The sequence below is a fragment of the Homo sapiens genome, chromosome 1 (assembly GCF_000001405.40).
Source record: "Homo sapiens chromosome 1, GRCh38.p14 Primary Assembly".
NCBI lineage: Eukaryota > Metazoa > Chordata > Mammalia > Primates > Hominidae > Homo > Homo sapiens.
The window spans coordinates 246,722,179-246,741,092 of NC_000001.11; the positions used below are offsets into that span (position 1 = coordinate 246,722,179).

Consider the following 18,914-nt stretch of genomic DNA (forward strand, 5'->3'; position numbering starts at 1 on the left):
GCCAGCATCTGCTTCTGGTGAGGCCTCAGGAAGCTTCCAATCGTGGCAGAAGGTGAAATGGAGCCAATGTATCACATGGTGAGAGAGAGACCAAGAGAGAGAAGGATGAGTGCTCTTTCAACTACCAGCTCTTGTATGAACTTATGCAGAGAGAACATACTCATTATCCTGGGGATGGCACCAAGCCATTCATGAGGGATCCACCCCCATGACCCAAACATCTCCCACCAGGCCCCACCTCCAATGCTGGGGATTACATTTCAACATGTGATTTGGGGGGGCCAAACATCCAAACCATAGCAAGCATGCTTCCCAAAAAACAAAATATATATATATATATATATATATATATATATATATATATATATATTCTGTTTTTTTAGGGTTTTTTGTTTTCTTTTGTTTTTATTTTCTTTTTAGAGACAATATCTCACTTTGTCACCCAGGCTGGAGTGTAGCTCACTATAACCTCCAACTCCTAGGTTCAAGCAATCCTCCTGCCTCAGCCTCCCAAGTAGCTGGGACTAAAAGTGCATGCCACTGTACCTGGCTCTGTAAGATTATTTTTTAGTGACTGTTTACTCCACTAGAATGTAAACTTCTTGAGGGCAGGGGCTTTATTTGTTGCCATATCCCCAGTACTTTATTCCTAGTGCCCAGTATATAGTTAAGTGTTTAATAAATACTTGAATGCTTACTACTTTACACCCACCAGATGGACAAGCATGAAGTCTGAGAATACCAAGTGCTGACAAGCACGTAAAGCAAGAGGATTCTTGTATCCCGCTGAGAGCGAAAATTAGTGCATGTGCTTTAAAGAGCAGTGAGATAACTCAAATATGGATATTCTAGCACCAACCATTTTCATTCCTGACACATATTCAATACACTTTCGCACAGGTGCTTTAGGAGAAAGGTACAAGAATTTTATTGTAGCATTCTTTGTATTATATTGCACAAAAGCACTATACAACATTGTACAAAAGCATTGTAGAATTTGGTGTATTTCTCTCTCTCTCCCTCTCTCCACACACGTATCACAGACATTTTTTTTTATTCTGAATCATTTGGGAATAAGTTCACGACATCATGACCAAATAAGAAAGCTGCAGGATTGACATTTACAAAATATTCAAAATATGCAAAACGGTACTATAATATTTATAAATACATACATATATAACAAGCAGAAAGATAGGAATAGGAATAATAAACACTAAATTCAGGCAAGTGGCCGTCTTGGGGACGCAAAAGGAAATGTGTTCAGGAATGAATACCTGGAAGCCTCGCTATCTGGAATATTTTTCTTAAGCTGTGTTGAGGGTACATATTTGTTATTGGCTGTACCTTTTTTGCAAGACATATATTTCAAAATTTTTAAAAGCATTCATTTATTCCTATTTTAATGAGAGTTTTTAAAAATCAGGAATGGGCTGGGTGCAGTGGCTCATGCGTGTAATCCCGACCCTTTGGGAGGCCGAGGTGGGTGGATCACCTGAGGTCAGGAGTTCGAGACCAGCCTGGCCAACAAGGTGAAAACCCATCTCTACTAAAAACACAAAAATTAGCAGGGCGTGGGGGCGCTCCCCTGTAATCCCAGCTACTCGGGAGGCTGAGGCAGAATCGCTTGAACCCAGGAGGCGAAGGTTGCAGTAAATCGAGATCGCGCCACTGCGCTGCAGCCTGGGCGACAGAGTGAGACTCCATCTCAAAAACAGAAAAGAGAAAAGAAAGGGAAAAAAGGGAAGAAAGAAAGGAAGAAAGCAAGCAAGCTCAAGGGTTCTCGGGGTGGGCCATCCCCGAGGCCATCCGCAGATTTTCTCGCACTCTTTGCTCCACCCCCACGTGCAACAAGGACAACCGGCTGCCGCCTCCAGCTTCCAGCAGGGCTAGAAGATGCGCTGCCCGGGGCGGCCAGAGCCCTGCAGAACAAACCGCCGCACGGAATTAGGGGCCGCCGTCCGCGCCTGCCAGGCTTGGAAGCGGACTCGCCCCCAGGGCCACCGCCCTAGGAAACCTCCCGTCGGAAGCCTCCCAAGCAAGCCGCTCACCCGCGGCTCCCGCGCGAGGCGGCGTGGGCGTGGGCGCGGCCCTGGCGCGGCGGCGCGCGCGGGGTGAAGGGAGCCCGGCGCGCTGGCTGCGGCGACGGCGGCCGTTGCTGCGCCGGGTACTGGGGTCGCTGCCTGAGGCGCAGGCGCCGTGGACTCCACCCGCCCCGGGGCCTGGGCTCGCTGTGGACTCGTCATGGCGACCGAGCAGAGGCCTTTCCACCTGGTGGTGTTCGGCGCGTCTGGCTTCACCGGCCAGTTCGTGACCGAGGAGGTGGCCCGGGAGCAGGTGGACCCGGAGCGGAGCTCCCGCCTGCCCTGGGCCGTGGCGGGCCGCTCCCGGGAGAAGCTGCAGCGGGTGCTGGAGAAGGCGGCCCTGAAGCTGGGTACAGCGGCGGGGCGGGACGGGGCTGCGCGGGCGGCTGGGCCGGGGACCCCGCATCGCCCCAAACGAGCGTTTCTCCCGCAGGGATGCGCCCTACGTGTCCCCGAGCCCTGCGTGAGGACAAGAAGAGGAGAGGGAGAGATGTTTCAAATACTGCCATAGCTTTGTCCCACCTCCTTAACTATATGTGTGTGTGCGCGTGCGTGTATAATATACACACACATTTTTTTTTCTTTCCTTCTCCTCTTTCCCGCTTTTTGCATTTCTGCCTCAGTTTGGGGAGCTCCCCTGGCGAAATGGTCAAGAACTTGAGTTGTCCCTCTCTCTGCTTCATCCTGCCCCGCAGCGGGGGCACCTGTTGAATCTGCGGGTTTCTAGATGTTTGGTCGGAGAGGAGAGGAGGGCTTTGGTCTCTTGGAGATCGGAGTCTCCCTTTGCCTCGTGTTTTGAGGACGGGAGAGCAAGCTTACGAGTTGTACTGACAGTGTCTTTGTGGCTATTCTGTTTTAGTTTCTTGTTTTGTGTGTAAGAATACTCCAGCAGTCTTCCTCTTCAGAGAATAAAAAGTGTGTATTTCTGGTTTAGACGCTTACGTATTCTCTAAGCATTCAGGTAGCATGTATTTATTGATAATCTAAGCATTCAGGTAGCATATATTTATTGATAATCTAAGCATTCAGGTAGCATATATTTATTGATTCTCTAAGCATTGAAGGAGCATATATTTATTGAGTGACGTTGTCCATGCTAAGACCTGTCCCGAGTCTGGGGTGCAGGATGGGACAGAGAGGAGACAGACACACGGATCCTGCTGCCTTCATGGCTGGGGAGACATCTGACTTACGACTCCGTAGCCTTTAAATTTGGCTATTAACTCCCGTAGATTTCCCTTATACAGACACCCATTAGAGTTCTGGAAATACTACATTCTTTCTGTTTAATCTACTTTCATACAATGCCCTGCTCGGAGTGCTTTTGTTCGTGGTTATGTACAGAAGACACCACGTAGGCTGGACTCTCCTACAGCTTTTGGTGCTGACACTACCAACACGTAATTCTGACCAAAGAGCTTTTTGGTCGTTATTTTTCCAACAGAAGTAATTTTACTATGAAAATATATGCTTCCATTTCTTTTTTCGGCTCAGCAAGATCGTACCGGTACAGCCTAGTCACTTATCATATATAATGCCCAAATCAAGTTTCATTGTGGGGGGATATACCTTCACCTATTGAAACCTGCATCACTTAGTTGAGCCAGTTAATTCCAATTATTTTCTTATGAGCCTGTGTGTGTTTATATAGCGTGTGCTTTTCACCTCAGAGTTCTAATTTTTTGTTTTTTGTTTGTTTGTTTGCCATTCTCCTGCCTCAGCCTCCTGAGTAGCTGGGACTAGAGGCGCCCGCCACCACGCCCTGCTAATTTTTTTAGTAGAGACGGGGTTTCACCGTGTTAGTGAGGATGGTCTCGATCTGCTGACCTCGTGATCCACCCTTCTCGGCTTTCCAAAGTGCTGGGATTACAGGCGTGAGCCACTGCACCCAGCCCTGATGGTTTTGATGTTAACAGTCAGTCCGAAACTCTCCATCACCTACAATTGGATCATAGTAATTGTTTAGTGGTTGATGAGAAACTTTATTTTTTTAAAGACAAGTTCTCATTCTGCCACCCAGGCTGGAGTACAGTGGCGTGATCACAGCTCACTGCAGCCTTGACCTCTGTGTCTAAGTGATTCTACCGCCTCAGCCTCCTGAGTAGCTGGTACTACAGGCTATGCCACCATGTCAGATAATTTTTTTTTTTTTTTTAGTAGAGACAAGGTCTTGCTATGTTGCCCAAGCTGGTCTGGAACTCCTGAGGTCAAGAGATCCTTGCACCTTGACCTTCCAAAGTGCTGAGCCACTGCCCCTGGCCAAGAAACTATTTTATGACATAAATTTCTTGTTGGAGAGGAAGTCTGGATAGTTATCTGCTCAGCATTTAAACTTGATTGTGAAATTGTCATGTTACACAGGGTTGTTATTTACACAACGCTTTGATTCGATTTTTTTTAAAAGGTCAGTTTTTTAGTAACTCTTAGTGTTAACTCAGTTTTCCTCATAATTTTTTCCTTTTGTATTACCTGATTAAAAACAGTTTTATCTTTTGTCTAAGCAGGAGAGCTAGCTTTCAGCATATCAGTGTATTTAGTAATTTGCTGTCACTGATTACTGTAAAAAGAAGATAAGGAAGATATAATCCTCTACTGGGATTTACTTTCCTTCATTTGTTTCTTATTTTAGGAAGACCAACACTGTCATCTGAAGTTGGAATCATCATCTGTGATATTGCTAATCCAGCCTCGCTTGATGAAATGGCTAAACAGGCAACAGTTGTCCTCAATTGCGTAGGACCAGTAAGTAATCAACCCTTCTTTGTATCAGAACAAACAATCCATTCATTTCTAGCAAAATATTCCAGAGGAACATAAGGACAGAGGACAGAATTGTTGGTTGAAGGCCTTAACCCCATATGGGGAGTTTTTTCTTCTTGCGAGGAGCAGCTGGAGATGACCAAAGTCTCCTGAGAGAGTGAGTGACAGGCTCTCCATGACGTTCTCCTTAGGGCATGTGTGCTGGCTTGTTGATTGGTTACATCTGTGATTGTCAGAATTTTCTTTCCTTTTTACTATATACCCCTTCGGTAAAAAATGTTTGAGTGTGTCTCCCTAGTATATTTTTTATTTATAAATTATATTCTTGTACTACTGGGTAAATATATTTTTTAAATGCACAAAAAGAAGACTAAAAAACGACTCATTTATTGAATAAATATTTATTGATGCTTACCACATGTGAAATGCACTATTGTAGGCACCTGGGACACAATGGTGAACAAAACAGAAAATCCCTCGTGGACATTACGTTCTTGGGGAAGACAGAAAAATAGGATTGTAATAGGAGGTAATGAAAAGTGCTTTGAAGAAAAGTGAAGCCAAGAAAGGAGAAAAGGTCCTGGCATATTGGTGTTTTTAGATGGATGGTCAGGGAAGGTTTCTGTGAGGAATTGACATTTGAGCCAAGATCTGAATGAAATGAGAGCAAATTGCATGAACCTTTTGAGGAGAGACTTTTCCAGGGACAGCAGGCACAAAGGTCCTGAGATGCCAGTGTGCTTGGCAAGACTGAAGAGTGTGACAGAGGCCAGTGTGGCTGGGCATGGCAGAGAGGTGGAGAGTGGATCAGAGAGCAACCCGGGAGCTGGGTCATGTGGGATCTTACGGGCCATGGCCAGGATGTGGATTTTTTTTCCAGGTGTGACCAAGAGGCGTTGAATGGTTGAAAGGAAGGGCTTCAGCTGATTTAAATTGGAAGTTCTTTGGCTTCTGAGTGGAAAAGTAGATAACAAAGGATGAGCAATGGAATGGTGCAAGCACAAGCCCTGGGGTCGTAGTGGTGCTGAGAAGTAGTTAGGTCCAGAGTATATTTTCAAAGGAGAACGGCTTTTGCTGTTGTACTGTGAAAAAGTCATCAAGTCACAGGCCATCAGACTTTTGGCCTGTGTAACAAGGTGAATGTTGGTGACATTTAGTGATCTGAAGAAGCCATCACAGTTGGCAAGATGTTTAAAAATTAAATATCTAAAATATTAATAATTTTTAATTGAGAGCAAAAGGGTTTTTGAATTGCTATTAAATAGAAGTGTTGTTGATTTAGATTCATCTCATTCTTAACTAGCTTAGATTCCATCCATGAGGTCCACTGCTGCACTCTATAATGGACGCCCTCATCTATCTCCCTTGCCTTTTTCTCCTCAGTACTCTGGAAAAATCCCAGCCCTGGTTATTCTCTGCCTGCTCTTCACCTGAACATGAGTAACACAGTGTGGCTGGAGAAAAATGTATCCCCCTGCTAACTGGTCACACTTCAAATATGTGTTTACAAACGTTGTGTGGTGCTTAGCACCTCCGGCAGCTCTGCTCTATTTCCCTCAGGAATTCTCTCTCCTGCTCTCTGAAGCAGCTCACAACCTTGTTTTCCTTGAACTTTTAGTATCCCGTCTCTCTTTCCTTGTTCTTATCTGATTTTATTTTTCTTTTTTTTTAACTATGAAAATAGAAGCTGGTTAATAACAGAATTTCTTTCTTCATCTTCCTACCACCAGATCTATCTACCTACCTACCTGTCTGCCAATCTGCATCATACCCTGTAGTCTGCCATATCTCTTGTTACAAGGAAAAACTGGTCCTCTTCCTATTGGGCACAGTTTTCAAAGACTTTATTATCGGGGGAACCAGCCCCCAGTATTTCAACATAGGTTCTTTTCTATTTTCCCTAAGTGTCAGCCAGTCTGAGAAATAAAGAGAAAGAGTACAAAGAGAAATTTTACAGCTGGGCCTCTGGGGGTGACATCACTTGTTGACAGGTTCCGTGGTGCCCCTTGAGCTGCAAAACCAGCAAGTTTTTATTAGGGATTTCAAAAGGGGAGGGAGTGTACAAATAGGGAGTGGGTCACAGAGATCACATGCTTCAAAAGGCAATACGGTATCACAATGCAAATGGCAGAGCAAGATCACAAGGCCAGGGCAAAATTAGAATTACTGATGAGGTTCCATGTCCCGCTGGGCACGCACTGTCATTGATAAACATCTTAACAGGAAACAGGGTACGAGAGCAGACAACCAGTTTGACTAGAATTTGCCAGACTGGAATTTCCTAATCCTAGCAAGCCTGAGGGTGCTGCAGGAGACCAGGGTGTATTTCATCCCTTATCTTCAACTGCATAAGACAGACACTCCCAGAGCGGCCATTTTAGAGACCTCCCCCTGGGAATGCATTCCTTTCCCAGGGTTATTCCTTGCTGGGAAAAGAATTCAGTGATATTTCTCCTATTCGCTTTCTGCAAGAAGAGAAATATGACTCTCTTCTGCCCAGTCGCGCAGGCAGTCAGACATTATGGTTATCTCCCTTGTTCCCTGAAAATTGCTGTTATCCTCTTCCTTTTTTAGGATGCCCAGATTTCATATTGTTCAAAGACACATGTTTTACAGTTTGTACGGATAACTCAATCATCACAGGGTCCTGAGGCAACATACATCCTCAGCTTACAAAGATGACAGGATTAAGAGATTAAAGACAGGCATAGGAAATTATAACAGTATTGATTGGGGAAGTGATAAATGTCCATGAAATCTTCACAATTTATGTCCAGAGATTGCAGTAAAGACAGGTGTAAGAAATTATAAAAGTATTAATTTGGGGAACTAATAAATGTCCATGAAATCTTCACAGTTTATGTTCTTCTGCCGTGGCTTCAGCTGGTCCCTCTGTTCGGGGTCCCTGACTTCCTGTAACACTTTATGTTTACAATTACACATTATCTTGTTATCAAATTTCTCCTCTTTACTGGATTATTTCAATCAGCATTTAAATATGTGATATCTCCCATATTTTAAAAAAAGCTGCTTGATTCCACATACCCTTCCAACTACTCTACTTTTTGTGCCCCCTTTTTAGCAGCCTCCTTGGAAGAATTCTCATGACTCACTATCTCTGCTTCTTCACCTCCTACTCTATCTTAAACGCCTCCTATTGGGCTTTTGTTTTCCTCCCTCCTCCAATGAAACTACTCTGCTAAAGTCCCACCCTGTCAAATCCAGTCTTCATCTGAAAGCTTGCAGCATTCGATCCAGCTGACCACTTTCTCCTTTCTTTGCTCAGCTTCTACGTTGTCATCTTCTCGTAGTTTTCCTCCTGTCCACCAGCTTCACCCTGGAAGTCCTCGTCTCCTCCACTGCGTCTTTGTCCTCCCCACTCTAAATGCTTGAGGCCTCAGCGTTTAAGCTTTAGAACCTCAATAACCTCATTCAGGCATTAGGTTGCAGTAAAGTGAAAACGACTGAATGAATGAAGAGTGGTGCTGAGGCCCTCTCTGTGTGATGGAAACTTTCCCACAACCCCATCAGGATACCTGCTGTGTCCTGTCTTCAACACATGACCACTTAACATGGCCCAGGGAATGTCTCGTAGTCAGTCCATATAGTAACCGTTAACGGAACGTCATGTTTTTGTAAACATTAACATGGATAAAAGTTCTGATATTTACTTCCACCCTCAGTGGATCATTCTGCGCTTCCCTTAGGGGAAGACTACTTGGGAGACCACTGGGTTAGAAGATGGAACTTTGAGGGCCAGGCGCGGTGGGTCATGCCTGGAATCCCAAACCTCTGGGAGGCTGAGGTGGGCAGATCACTTGAGGTCGGGAGTTTGAGACCAGCCTGGCCAACATGGTGAAACCCTGTCTCTACTAAAAATACAAAAAATTAGCTGGGCATGGTGGTACACACTTGTAATTGCAGCTACTCGGGAGGCTGACGCAAGAGAATCACTTGAATCCGGGAGGCGGAGGTTACAGTGAGCTGAGATTGCGCCATTGTATTCAAGCCTGGGCAGCAAGAATGAAACTCCAGCTCAAAAAGAAAAAAGAAGAAGATGAGACATGGAGAGCAGGATTGCGGTTCTGACCTTTGAGCCAATTGGCCTCACAGGGGAGAAGTGTCTCCCCGAGATGAAGGATTGCTACTCTGACTGTTCACCTGTCTCAGACAAGCACAGGGTACTAAGTGGAGAAAAATCTAGCAAGTTCATAAAATAGGAATAAGTTAGTGAGAAGTCTCAACTCCAGATTACTCAAAGAAGTGGGCCAGATGTGACAAAATGCAGTAAAAGTAAGGAATGGGCAGACTGGCAAATAGGAAAATGCGTTTTCTTTCCAGAAGGAGCTACGATTATTTTAATAAGCTCATTAATACTTCACTGCAGCCTGCCAGTACTCATAGATACACTGCCTAGCTGATGGGCTCACTAGCCAGACATGAGAAGTGAGCCTGTGGCTGTAAGGCAGAGCCTGGAGGAGCTGGGAGTTGGCCCAGCAGAATGAAGGGAGGGTGCTCCAGGTAGTGGAAGCAAGCACACTGGGTGTGAAGAAGCAGCATGCTTGGGGAATTACATGGAATTTAGAACTGCTGGAACATGAGAATTAAGGGGCTGTGGTATGATATGATACTAAGGACTTTCTGTGACATGCTAAGAAATTTGGACTTTGTACTATATACTGTAGGGATTTTTTTGTTTTTGTTATTTTTATTTAAGTTCTAGGGTACATGTGCACAACATGCAGGCTCGTTACATAGGTATACATGTGCCATGCTGGCCTGCTGCACCCATCAACCCGTCATTTACATTAGGTATTTCTCTCAATGCTATCCCTACCCCTGCCCCCCACCCCACGACAGGCCCCAGTGTATGATGTTCCCCACCCTGTGTCCAAGTGTTCTCATTGTTCAGTTCCCACCTGTGAGTGAGATCATGCGGTATTTGGTTTTCTGTCCTTGTGATAGTTTGCTCAGAATGATGGTTTCCAGCTTCATCCATGTCCCTGCAAAGGACATGAACTCATCCTTTTTTATGCCTGTATAGTATTCCATGGTGTATATGTGCCACGTTTTCTTAATCCAGTCTATCAGATTTGAAGAGTGGATATGTTATAGGAGTGAGGCAGGAGGAAAGGTGACATCACATTTTTATTTTAGAATAACAATTTGTTATGTATTTGGAGATGGGGCTAGCTGGCTGCAGTATAACCAGTTAGGGCCTATTTATAGTAAATTAGATGAGTGTTGACAGGGTCTGAACTAAGATATAATTGTGCAGGGGAGAGGAGACTGATTTGAGATAATTTTAGGAAACTGAATTGATAAAACTTGGTGACTTCCAGGATAGGTAGCATGAAAGACTGCTTCCAGATTTTTTTTTTTTTGAGGCGGTTCTTGCTCTGTCACCCAGGCGGAAATGCAGTGGTGCGATCTAGGCTCACTGCAACCTCCACCTCCCGGGTTCAAGCAATTCTCCTGTCTCAGCCTCCTGAGTAGCTGGAACTACAGGCTCATGCCGCCACACCTAGCTAATTTTTATATTTTTAGTCGAGACAGGGTTTTACCAAATTGGTCAGGCTAGTCTTGAACTCCTGACCTCAGGTGATCCACCTGCCTCGGCCTCCCAAAGTGCTGGGATTACAGGCATGAGCCACCACACCCAGCCTGCTTCCAGGTTTTAACCTGAGAATTATGTGGGGAGTAATGCCATTAAATAAAAAAAAGAAGCCATCTGAGTACCATGTGCCTGGCCCCACACTAAGCTCTTTGTATTCTCTTATTTCATCCTCACAACTACCCAGGGAAGTGAGTGTTGTTATTCATCACCATTCTTTGATTGAAGAGGTTGATGCTTAGAGAGGTAAAGTGACTTGCCCAGGGTCACACAGCTAGTGGCTGCAGAGCCTGGATGTAAGTGTGGCCTGACTTAAAGCCCACACTCTAGACCACTCTGCTGTTCAGCCATTTGCTCAGTTTTGTCTCAGAGTCTTCCCTCTTTTGAGCACAACAGAAAGATGTTAGAAGTGGGACCCAGGCAGGCTGAACTAGAGGCTATACTTTGTTTTTTATTTTTATTTTTTTGAGATGGGGGTCTCACTTTGTTGCCCAGGCTGGAGTAGAGTGGCACGAACACAGCTCACTGCTGCCTCAACCTCCTGGGCTCAAGGGATCTTCCAGCCTCAGCCCTGAAAGTAGCTGGGACTATAGACTGGTGCTATCACATCTGGCTAATTTTTGTATTTTTTGTAGAGACAGGGTTTTGCCCTGTTGCCCAGGCTGGTCTCTAGCTCTTGAGCTCAAGTGATTCACTCACCTTGGCCTCCCAAAGTGTTGGGATTACAGACGTGAGCCACTGTGCCTGGCCATGTGTTTATATATATATGCCATATATATATAGTCCTTATATGTATAATATATATATATAATAAGTATATGGCCTCTATATATAGTCCGTAGCATCATATTTTATACACACACACACACACACACACTTTTTTTCTTAGAGAAATGGGGTCTCAAAGCGATCCTTCTGCCTCAGCCTCCCAAAGTGCTGAGATTACAGGTTTGAGCCACCACACCTGGCCTAGAGGCTACACATTGAAGCACGTGCTAGGAAGTGGAGGAGGAGAAATAGGTTTAGAGAGAGAGATGATGAATTCGGTTTTAGACTTGTTGAAATTGAGGTGTCTGCTAGATACCTTGCATCAAGACAGAAAATACAAATAATATACTGTTTGTATATGATGTTTTATAAGTAAGTGAGAAAATCAGGGGGAAGAGAAAATAAAAGGAAAATGTAGGCAAAGTGAAATTAGTTTTATGTGTGACTCATGCTACATGTCCTGTGCTCTCACTGGTCCTGACCTTTCTAACAAAAAACAGAGGGAAATCCTATCAGTGAGCAACTCTAGACATAGAGGTTGGAGGTCACAGCACAGATTTTATTGAAGTTGGGAGAGTAGGTGAGATTTCCTGGGAGAATGTCTGGGGCAGTGATTCTCCATCTTTGAAGTACACAAGAATCACCTGTGAGGCTTATTTACAATGCAAGTTACTGGAGTCTACCTCAGAAAGCCTGATTCTGGGGGTCTGGAGTGGGAGTGAGTGACCAGCATGCAACCCAGGTGATTCTAAAGCAGGTGGACTCATGGCCAACTTGAGAAATTTGGGGGTGAAATAACTTAAGAACAAGGCCGAGAAAGCTCCAAATGAGTTTTAAAATGGATGTGTGCAAACCCTAAGGATCAACCAGGATAATCCACTGGGTGCAGAAAGCATATGGAGCTTCAACTTCTGTTTTAATCTCAACTTTAGTTCTATTTAAATATGTTTAAAATGTGTGTTTTATTCATTTGGTAGGCAATTTAAGTGATTTATAAGTAAATTCATATAGTTAGTAGGTGATGGATTCCAGGTGTGAACTTGGGTCTTACTGCCTTGAAATCCTTTGTTCCATGATACCATACTGCCTCAGAAGTAGAGTTCTTCATTAATTTCATGTGGTTTGTTAATGGGAGGGTAGGAACTCGAATTTCACACACTTCTCCCAGTCCTGTAATTCCAGTGTTATCCGCCATTCTTAGTAAGAGGTGTGAGGTCTTGGAGTTAGGTAAGAGGGCAGCCCATCTGACCTATTTGTAAAGGTCGATTGTGTCTTTTAAGTGTCCCTTGTTCCTCAAAGGCTGGAAGAAAGAAACGATTTCCTTGTTCCATCTTTTGCTGCCAGGAATGAATAAAGCAGAGGAGTTTGTGCTTCTAATCTACTTCTTCACAAAGGAAAAGATTTGTCATGCTTCTTTGGAAATGGGACTGAATTCTGATGTATTAGCTTTTACATATGAAAATTTGTATTTTAATTCCTTGAGTTTGAATAACAGATAATATGGGAAATCTAATATCATACAGGCTCAGAATATCTGCTCTGTTCAGTATCAAACTTATCCTTTGCAAACTCTCTTCTTCCTGTTGGTTTGTTTTTAATTTTGACCAATAATACCACTGGTTCTTGGCCCCCATGTCCAGCCCAGCTAGTCAGGAAATCCAGTCATTTCCACCTTTTTAGTATTGTATGTCTCATCTTTAGTATATCGTCTGTGCTATAAGTCTTATACCACTATCCTGTTTAAAATTCTTCTGGAAAGCCAAGTAAACTAGAAAGGATAAAGTTGAAACTTGTTAGCATGGCACATGTGGTCCTTCCTGATGTGGCCGTAGCCTGCCTTTTCAGACCCATCTCTTTCTACTTCCTACTCAAGTGAATTTGATTCCTGCTTCAAGCAACAGGAACAGCTCCTTTTTCTTAACCTCTGCATTTACTTTTTCCTGTATCTGGATTTTTCTTTTTCCTGGAAAATTTTTATTTGTTCTTTAGGGTTCAACTCAAGGGAATCACTTGTATGAAACTTTTCCTTTTGTCTTCAGGTAGAGGTAAGCATACATTGCTCTGTAATTCCATCATGCCTTTATTTATTCACACTGTGAGAGATGGTATTGTGCAGGTATCTTCTCAGTTTATCTTTTTGTTTCTGAGACGGAGTCTCACTCTGTCGCCCAGGCTGGAGTGCAGTGGCACGATCTTGGCTCACTGTAATCTCCACCTTCCAGGTTCAAACCATTCTCCTGCCTCAGCCTCCCGAGTAGCTGGGATTACAGGTGTGTGCCACCACGCCCGGCTAATTTTTGTATTTTTAGTCGAGATGGGGTTTCACCATGTTGGCCAGGCTGGTCTTGAACTCCTGACCTCAAGTGATCTACCTGCCTCGGCCTCCCAAAGTTCTGGGATTACAGGTGTGAGCCACTGTGCCTGGCCACTTTCTGAATTTATCTTTAGGCTATTTTATTAACAGTTGATTTCTTGATAACTAGGACTGTTTACTTCCAGGATTAGATGGCATTTTATTCATTTAAACTTGTCAAGCAAGAATAACCTCTTTGTTCTTTTTGTTTCCCTAGTATCGGTTTTATGGAGAACCTGTAATAAAAGCATGTATTGAAAATGGAGCCAGTTGTATCGACATCAGTGGAGAACCTCAGGTATAAAAAATAAAAAGGAAAAACGTAGAATTAACACATAAATTTCGGTTTAATGAAGTGGAAATATTTAGTGTAATTTTGCAGACATATTTAGAAGCCGACAACTCCTTTCTAGCATTCAGATATGGTATTCGTGTGGTATTCCATTGATAGCTCAAAGGAGAGCGCTGATGGTAAGGTCTTAGCTTCAGTTTTCTGAATTTTTTCCCTCCCTACAACATCATTTCTTATAGGTCTGTGCTTATTATAGCTACTTCATGCTTTAAACTGAATCAATTAAAATAGCGGACTGTGCATAATTCTTAGAATCTCAATTCTGTCATGTTTTCATTTTGAATTCCCTTTTAAAAATCAGGTACCTTTAGGCCGGGCACGGTGGCTCACACCTGCACTCCCAGCACTTTGGGAGGCCAAGGCGGGCAGATCATGAGGTCAGGAGATCGAGACCATCCTGGCCAACACGGTGAAACCCCATGTCTACTAAAAATACAAAAAGTGAGCCGGGCATGGTGGCGGGCACCTGTCATCCCAGCTTCTTGGGAGGCTGAGGTGGGAGAATGGGGTGAACCTAGGAGGTGGAGCTTGCAGTGAGCCGAGATCACTCCACTGCACTCCAGCCTGCGCCACAGAGCGAGAGCGAGACTCTGTCTCAAAAAAAAAAAGAAAATTCAGTTACCTTTATAACATTACAGAAAAATAAAGGTAAAATTCACTAGTGTAAAATCAACCTAAACATTTTAAATGTTCACATTTATTGAATGCTTACCATATGCCCAACATTGTGCTAAGTGTTTTATGTAACTTTTTAAAAATATACCTATAGGGTAGTTATCTTCCTCCATTTTTTGTAGATGAGGAAATTAAAGCTTAGGAAGCTTAAGTAACTCACTCAGTAATGCACCTAGTAATGCACCTAGTAATGCACCTAGTAAGTAGAAGAACTAGGTCTTCAATTGAGGTTTGCCTGACCACAGGAAGTTATGTGTTAACAGGCATTAAGCTCTACTACAGCCTTTAAAATGGTAACCTCATGTGTCTCTGTAGTAACTACTGATTATCATCATCAGCATGCCAATATGATATTAATATGCATTTGCAGTTTATCAATTGGTAAAATACTGGAAAATACTGAGACAGTGTAAATTACAAAAATTGATTCAAAAAGGAGGAAACAAATTAAAAAAAAAAAAAAGCCCAGGCGAGGTGGCTCACGCCTGTTACCCCAGCACTTTGGGAGGCTAGGTGGGAGGATGACTTGAGCTGGTGAGTTAACAAATTAGCCAGGAGTTGGTAGCACACACCTGTGGTCCCACCTACTCAGGAGAATGAGACAGGAATATCACTTGAGCCTGGGAGGTCAAGGCTGCAATGAGCTATGATCATGCCACTGCACTCCAGCCTGGGCAACATAGTGAGACCCTGTCTCCAAAAAACAAAAACAAAAAACAATTCCCATGTTATTTTAAATAACCCAGAACATAGAAAATGGTGAAAAGCTTTTAAGTCATCTAGAAACTATCATAAAAGTAGTATCGAACCCCCCCCTTTTTTTTTGATACAGGGTCTCTCTCTCTCACCCAGGCTGGAGTGCAGTGCTACGATCTTGGCTCACTGTAACCTCTGCCACCTGGGTTCAAGCGATTCTCCTGCCTCAACCTCCTGAGTAGCTGGGGGTACAGGTGCACACCACCACACCTGACTAATTTTTGTATTTTTAGTAGTGACAGGGTTTCACCGTGTTGGCCAGCTTGGTCTTGAACTCCTGGCCTCAAGTGATCCACCTGCATCGGCCTCCCAGAATGCTGGGATTACAGGCATGAGCCACCACGCCCAGCCATAATATCAAAACCTAATAAGGAGTTGGGCACGTTGGCTCATACCTGTAATCTCAGCACTCTGGGAAGCCAAAGTGGGTGGATCACTTGAGGCCAGGAGTTTGAGGCCAGCCTGGCCAACATGGCGAAACCCCATCTCTACTAAAAATACAAAAATCAGCCAAGCATGGTGGTGCACGTCTGCAATCCCAGCTACTCAGAAGGCTGAGGCATGAGAATCACTTGAACCCAGGAGTTGGAGGTTGCAGTAAGCCAAGATTGCGCCACTGCACTCCAGCCTGGGCAACAGGGTCGGATCCTGTCTCAAAACAACAACAACAAACCTATTAAAGAACCAGAGGGCTGGGTGCGGTGGCTCACACCTGTAATCCCAGTGCTTTGGGAGGCCGAGGCAGGCGGATCACGAGGTCAAGAGATCGAGACCATCTTGGCCAACATGGTGAAACCCCATCTCTATTAAAAATACAAAAGTTAGCTGGGCGTGGTGGTGCACGCCTGTAGTCCCAGCTACTTGGGAGGCTGAGGCAAGAGAATCGCTTGAACCTGGGAGTCGGAGGTTGCAATGAGCCAAGATCATGCCACTGCACTCCAGCCTGGCGACAGAGTGGGACTCCGTCTCAAAAAAAAAAAACCCAGAGTATTTAAAGAACTTTTACAAGACAATAATAGAAATAAAGACAATTTATTTTAAAAATGGGCAGGGGATGTAATCCTAGCACTTTGGGAGGCCGAGGCACGTGGATCACCTGAGGTCAGGAGTTTGAGACCAGCCTGACCAACATGGAGAAACCCTGTCTCCACTAAAAATAGAAAATTAGCTGGGCGTGGTGGCAGGTGCTGTAAACCCAGCTACTCGGGAAGCTGAGGCAGCAGAATCGCTTGAACCCGCGAGGTGGAGGTTGCAGTGAGCCGAGTCTGCACCATCGCACTCCAGCCCGGGCAACAGTGCGAGACTCCGTCTCAAAACAAAACAAAACCAAAAAGGCAGGGATGAGAAGAGACAAATCTTCTTTGTGGAAGAATTCCAAATGATTTATGTAGCTTCTCCACATTTATGTGCAAGCAGCTGTGTGTGTGACTGAGTGTGTTAATGTGTTTGTATGTGTGTGACTATGTTAGTGTGACTTAATGTGTTTGTGTGTGCATGAGCAAGTGTGTGTGTGTGATTGTGTTCGTGTGTGTTTGTGTATGTGCATGAATGGGTGTGTGTGGTGTGTGTTTGTGTCTGGTATGTGCTTGAACAGGTGTGATTGTGTTTGTGTGTCACCTTCTGGGAGAGGGAGCATAAATTGACAGTGGAGAAACCTGGTGAACACTGCCTCAGCCAGGTGTTCAAGTCAGCATTAACCCTGGTAAATCATGTTGACAGTGCGTAGCCCCGATGTGATATGATATGATAAGAATAGCACTTTACCCCTGTGGTCTCTTTCCAAAACTCATAATAATAATGAGAAAAGCATGAGACAAATTCCAGTAGAGGGGCACTCTACAAAATGCCTGACCAGTACTCCTCAAAACCATCAAGGTCATCAGAGACAAGGAAAGTGTGAGAAACCGTCGCAGCCAAAAGAAGCCGAAGGAGACGTAACAACCGAATGTAATCCTGGATGGGATCCTGGAGCAGAAAAAGGGGTTCAGTTAAAACTAAGGGAATCAGAATGAACTGTGAACTTTAGTGAATTAAATCATATATGTCAGTACTGGTTCATTAATTGTAACCACTGTTCATGTAAAAGATGTTAAAAATAGAGAAAACTGGGTTTCAGAGTACTTGGGAACTCTCTACTATTCAATTTTTCTGTAAATCTTAAACTGTTTTTAAAAAGGAATTTCTAAAAACAGGCAGAAGAGCAGAGCAGACATTATTCCCCTGTGCCCTCTGCCACCATCTACTTTCCTGCTCTCTGTCTGTACGTGTGCGGAGCTTTATGTCTGTGATGATGTTCATCTGGGTAATGCTGTTTGGGGTCATTTTTTTTTTGCTTTCTATTTTTTATATTTTAATATTTTATAATAGGCATTACTTTTATATTTAAAAGTCATTCTAAAAAAATTAAGTGTCATACAGTCAGACGAGCACAACTTCTGTACCACCTGGTGTGCAGTAGGCGCTGTATTTGCCGAATAAGTGGAAAATATTTTGACAGTTAATGTTTTGCTGCAGAGCCACACTGCTTAGCATTTTCAAAGTTTGGTTGCTTTGTTTTTAAAGATAAATTATTTAATACTGGTCTACATCTTTCTGCATAACTAATTAAAATTCTTATCCTGGATTTTTTAGTTTCTGGAACTAATGCAACTGAAGTATCATGAGAAAGCTGCAGACAAAGGGGTTTATATCATTGGAAGCAGCGGCTTTGACTCCATTCCAGCAGATCTGGGAGTAATATATACCAGAAATAAAATGAATGGTAATTATTGATCAATAAGCAATAATGGAATTTAACAGTACCGTGCAAAGGCTTCATGTTTCTAACTGTGGTGAACTAAAATCTAGTTGAAAAAAGAAACATAGCCATAAATGGGTAATATTAAACACATGTTTTGTTTTTAATATAGCTGCACTTTTAATAAAATGCTATTGAGACTATTGTTGAGACATGGATAATACTGTATTTTACAGTGATATATTATTGTCTCAGTATAGTTTGGGCTGTAAAATTTCTGGAAAACAACTTTGGCAACGTTATAAATTCAAACTTGCTTTGTTTAGGAATCAGCACATTTTAAAGCATAATTTGTATATTATAGTTAAAAGGTTTTAAATTTTTAACCGTCAAAGCTAGAAAGTATTGAACACAGAATTGGAGACACTTATTTAAGAATGGAGAAAATAATGTTACGATAAAACATTTGAAGTTACTGATGTTTTGCATATTTAAGAGTGTCTGGTTTAGAAAATTACCTGAGCAGGGTGTGGTGGCTTACACCCATAATCTTAGCTACTTGGGAGGTTGAGGCAGCAGGATCTCTCGAGGCCAAGAGTTCAGGACCAGCCTGGGCAACATAGTAAGACTCGTCCCTAAGAAATAAAAAAAAATTAGCCAGGTGTGGTGGTGCACACCTGTAGTCAGTCCCAGCTCCTCAGGAGGCTGAGGTAGGAGGATCACTTGAACCCAGGAGTTTGAGGCTTTAGTAAGCTATGATTGCACCACTGCACTCTAGCCTGGGTTACAGAGTGAGACCTTGTCTCTTAGAAAAA

At 43.5% G+C, this 18,914-nt stretch overlaps 1 protein-coding gene across 1 annotated transcript in view, besides 5 other annotated features; it reads left to right on the plus strand.

Moving 5' to 3' along the window:
• Nucleotides 1,665–1,824: an enhancer, noted in NCBI's record as "active region_2859". NCBI's record gives its function as "activates an Ori minimal core promoter by ATAC-STARR-seq in GM12878 lymphoblastoid cells {active_cell/tissue: GM12878}" and the evidence as "EXISTENCE:reporter gene assay evidence [ECO:0000049][PMID:35858748]".
• Nucleotides 2,035–2,164: a silencer, noted in NCBI's record as "silent region_2035". NCBI's record gives its function as "represses an Ori minimal core promoter by ATAC-STARR-seq in GM12878 lymphoblastoid cells {active_cell/tissue: GM12878}" and the evidence as "EXISTENCE:reporter gene assay evidence [ECO:0000049][PMID:35858748]".
• Nucleotides 2,205–2,274: a silencer, noted in NCBI's record as "silent region_2036". NCBI's record gives its function as "represses an Ori minimal core promoter by ATAC-STARR-seq in GM12878 lymphoblastoid cells {active_cell/tissue: GM12878}" and the evidence as "EXISTENCE:reporter gene assay evidence [ECO:0000049][PMID:35858748]".
• The window catches only part of SCCPDH (saccharopine dehydrogenase (putative)), a 43,729-nt gene continuing 27,045 nt past the window's right edge, over nt 2,231–18,914 (plus strand). Inside the window, exons 1-4 of the mRNA NM_016002.3 lie at nt 2,231–2,434; nt 4,714–4,826; nt 13,797–13,877; nt 17,994–18,123. Coding sequence (NP_057086.2) covers nt 2,245–2,434; nt 4,714–4,826; nt 13,797–13,877; nt 17,994–18,123 — 514 coding nt within the window. The 5' untranslated portion in view covers nt 2,231–2,244. The remainder of the gene's footprint in view (nt 2,435–4,713; nt 4,827–13,796; nt 13,878–17,993; nt 18,124–18,914) is intronic.
• Nucleotides 2,375–2,584: a silencer, noted in NCBI's record as "silent region_2037". NCBI's record gives its function as "represses an Ori minimal core promoter by ATAC-STARR-seq in GM12878 lymphoblastoid cells {active_cell/tissue: GM12878}" and the evidence as "EXISTENCE:reporter gene assay evidence [ECO:0000049][PMID:35858748]".
• Nucleotides 7,315–7,515: a silencer, noted in NCBI's record as "peak819 fragment used in MPRA reporter construct". NCBI's record gives its function as "represses an SCP1 promoter by STARR-seq MPRAs in K562 erythroleukemia cells {active_cell/tissue: K562}" and the evidence as "EXISTENCE:reporter gene assay evidence [ECO:0000049][PMID:32103011]".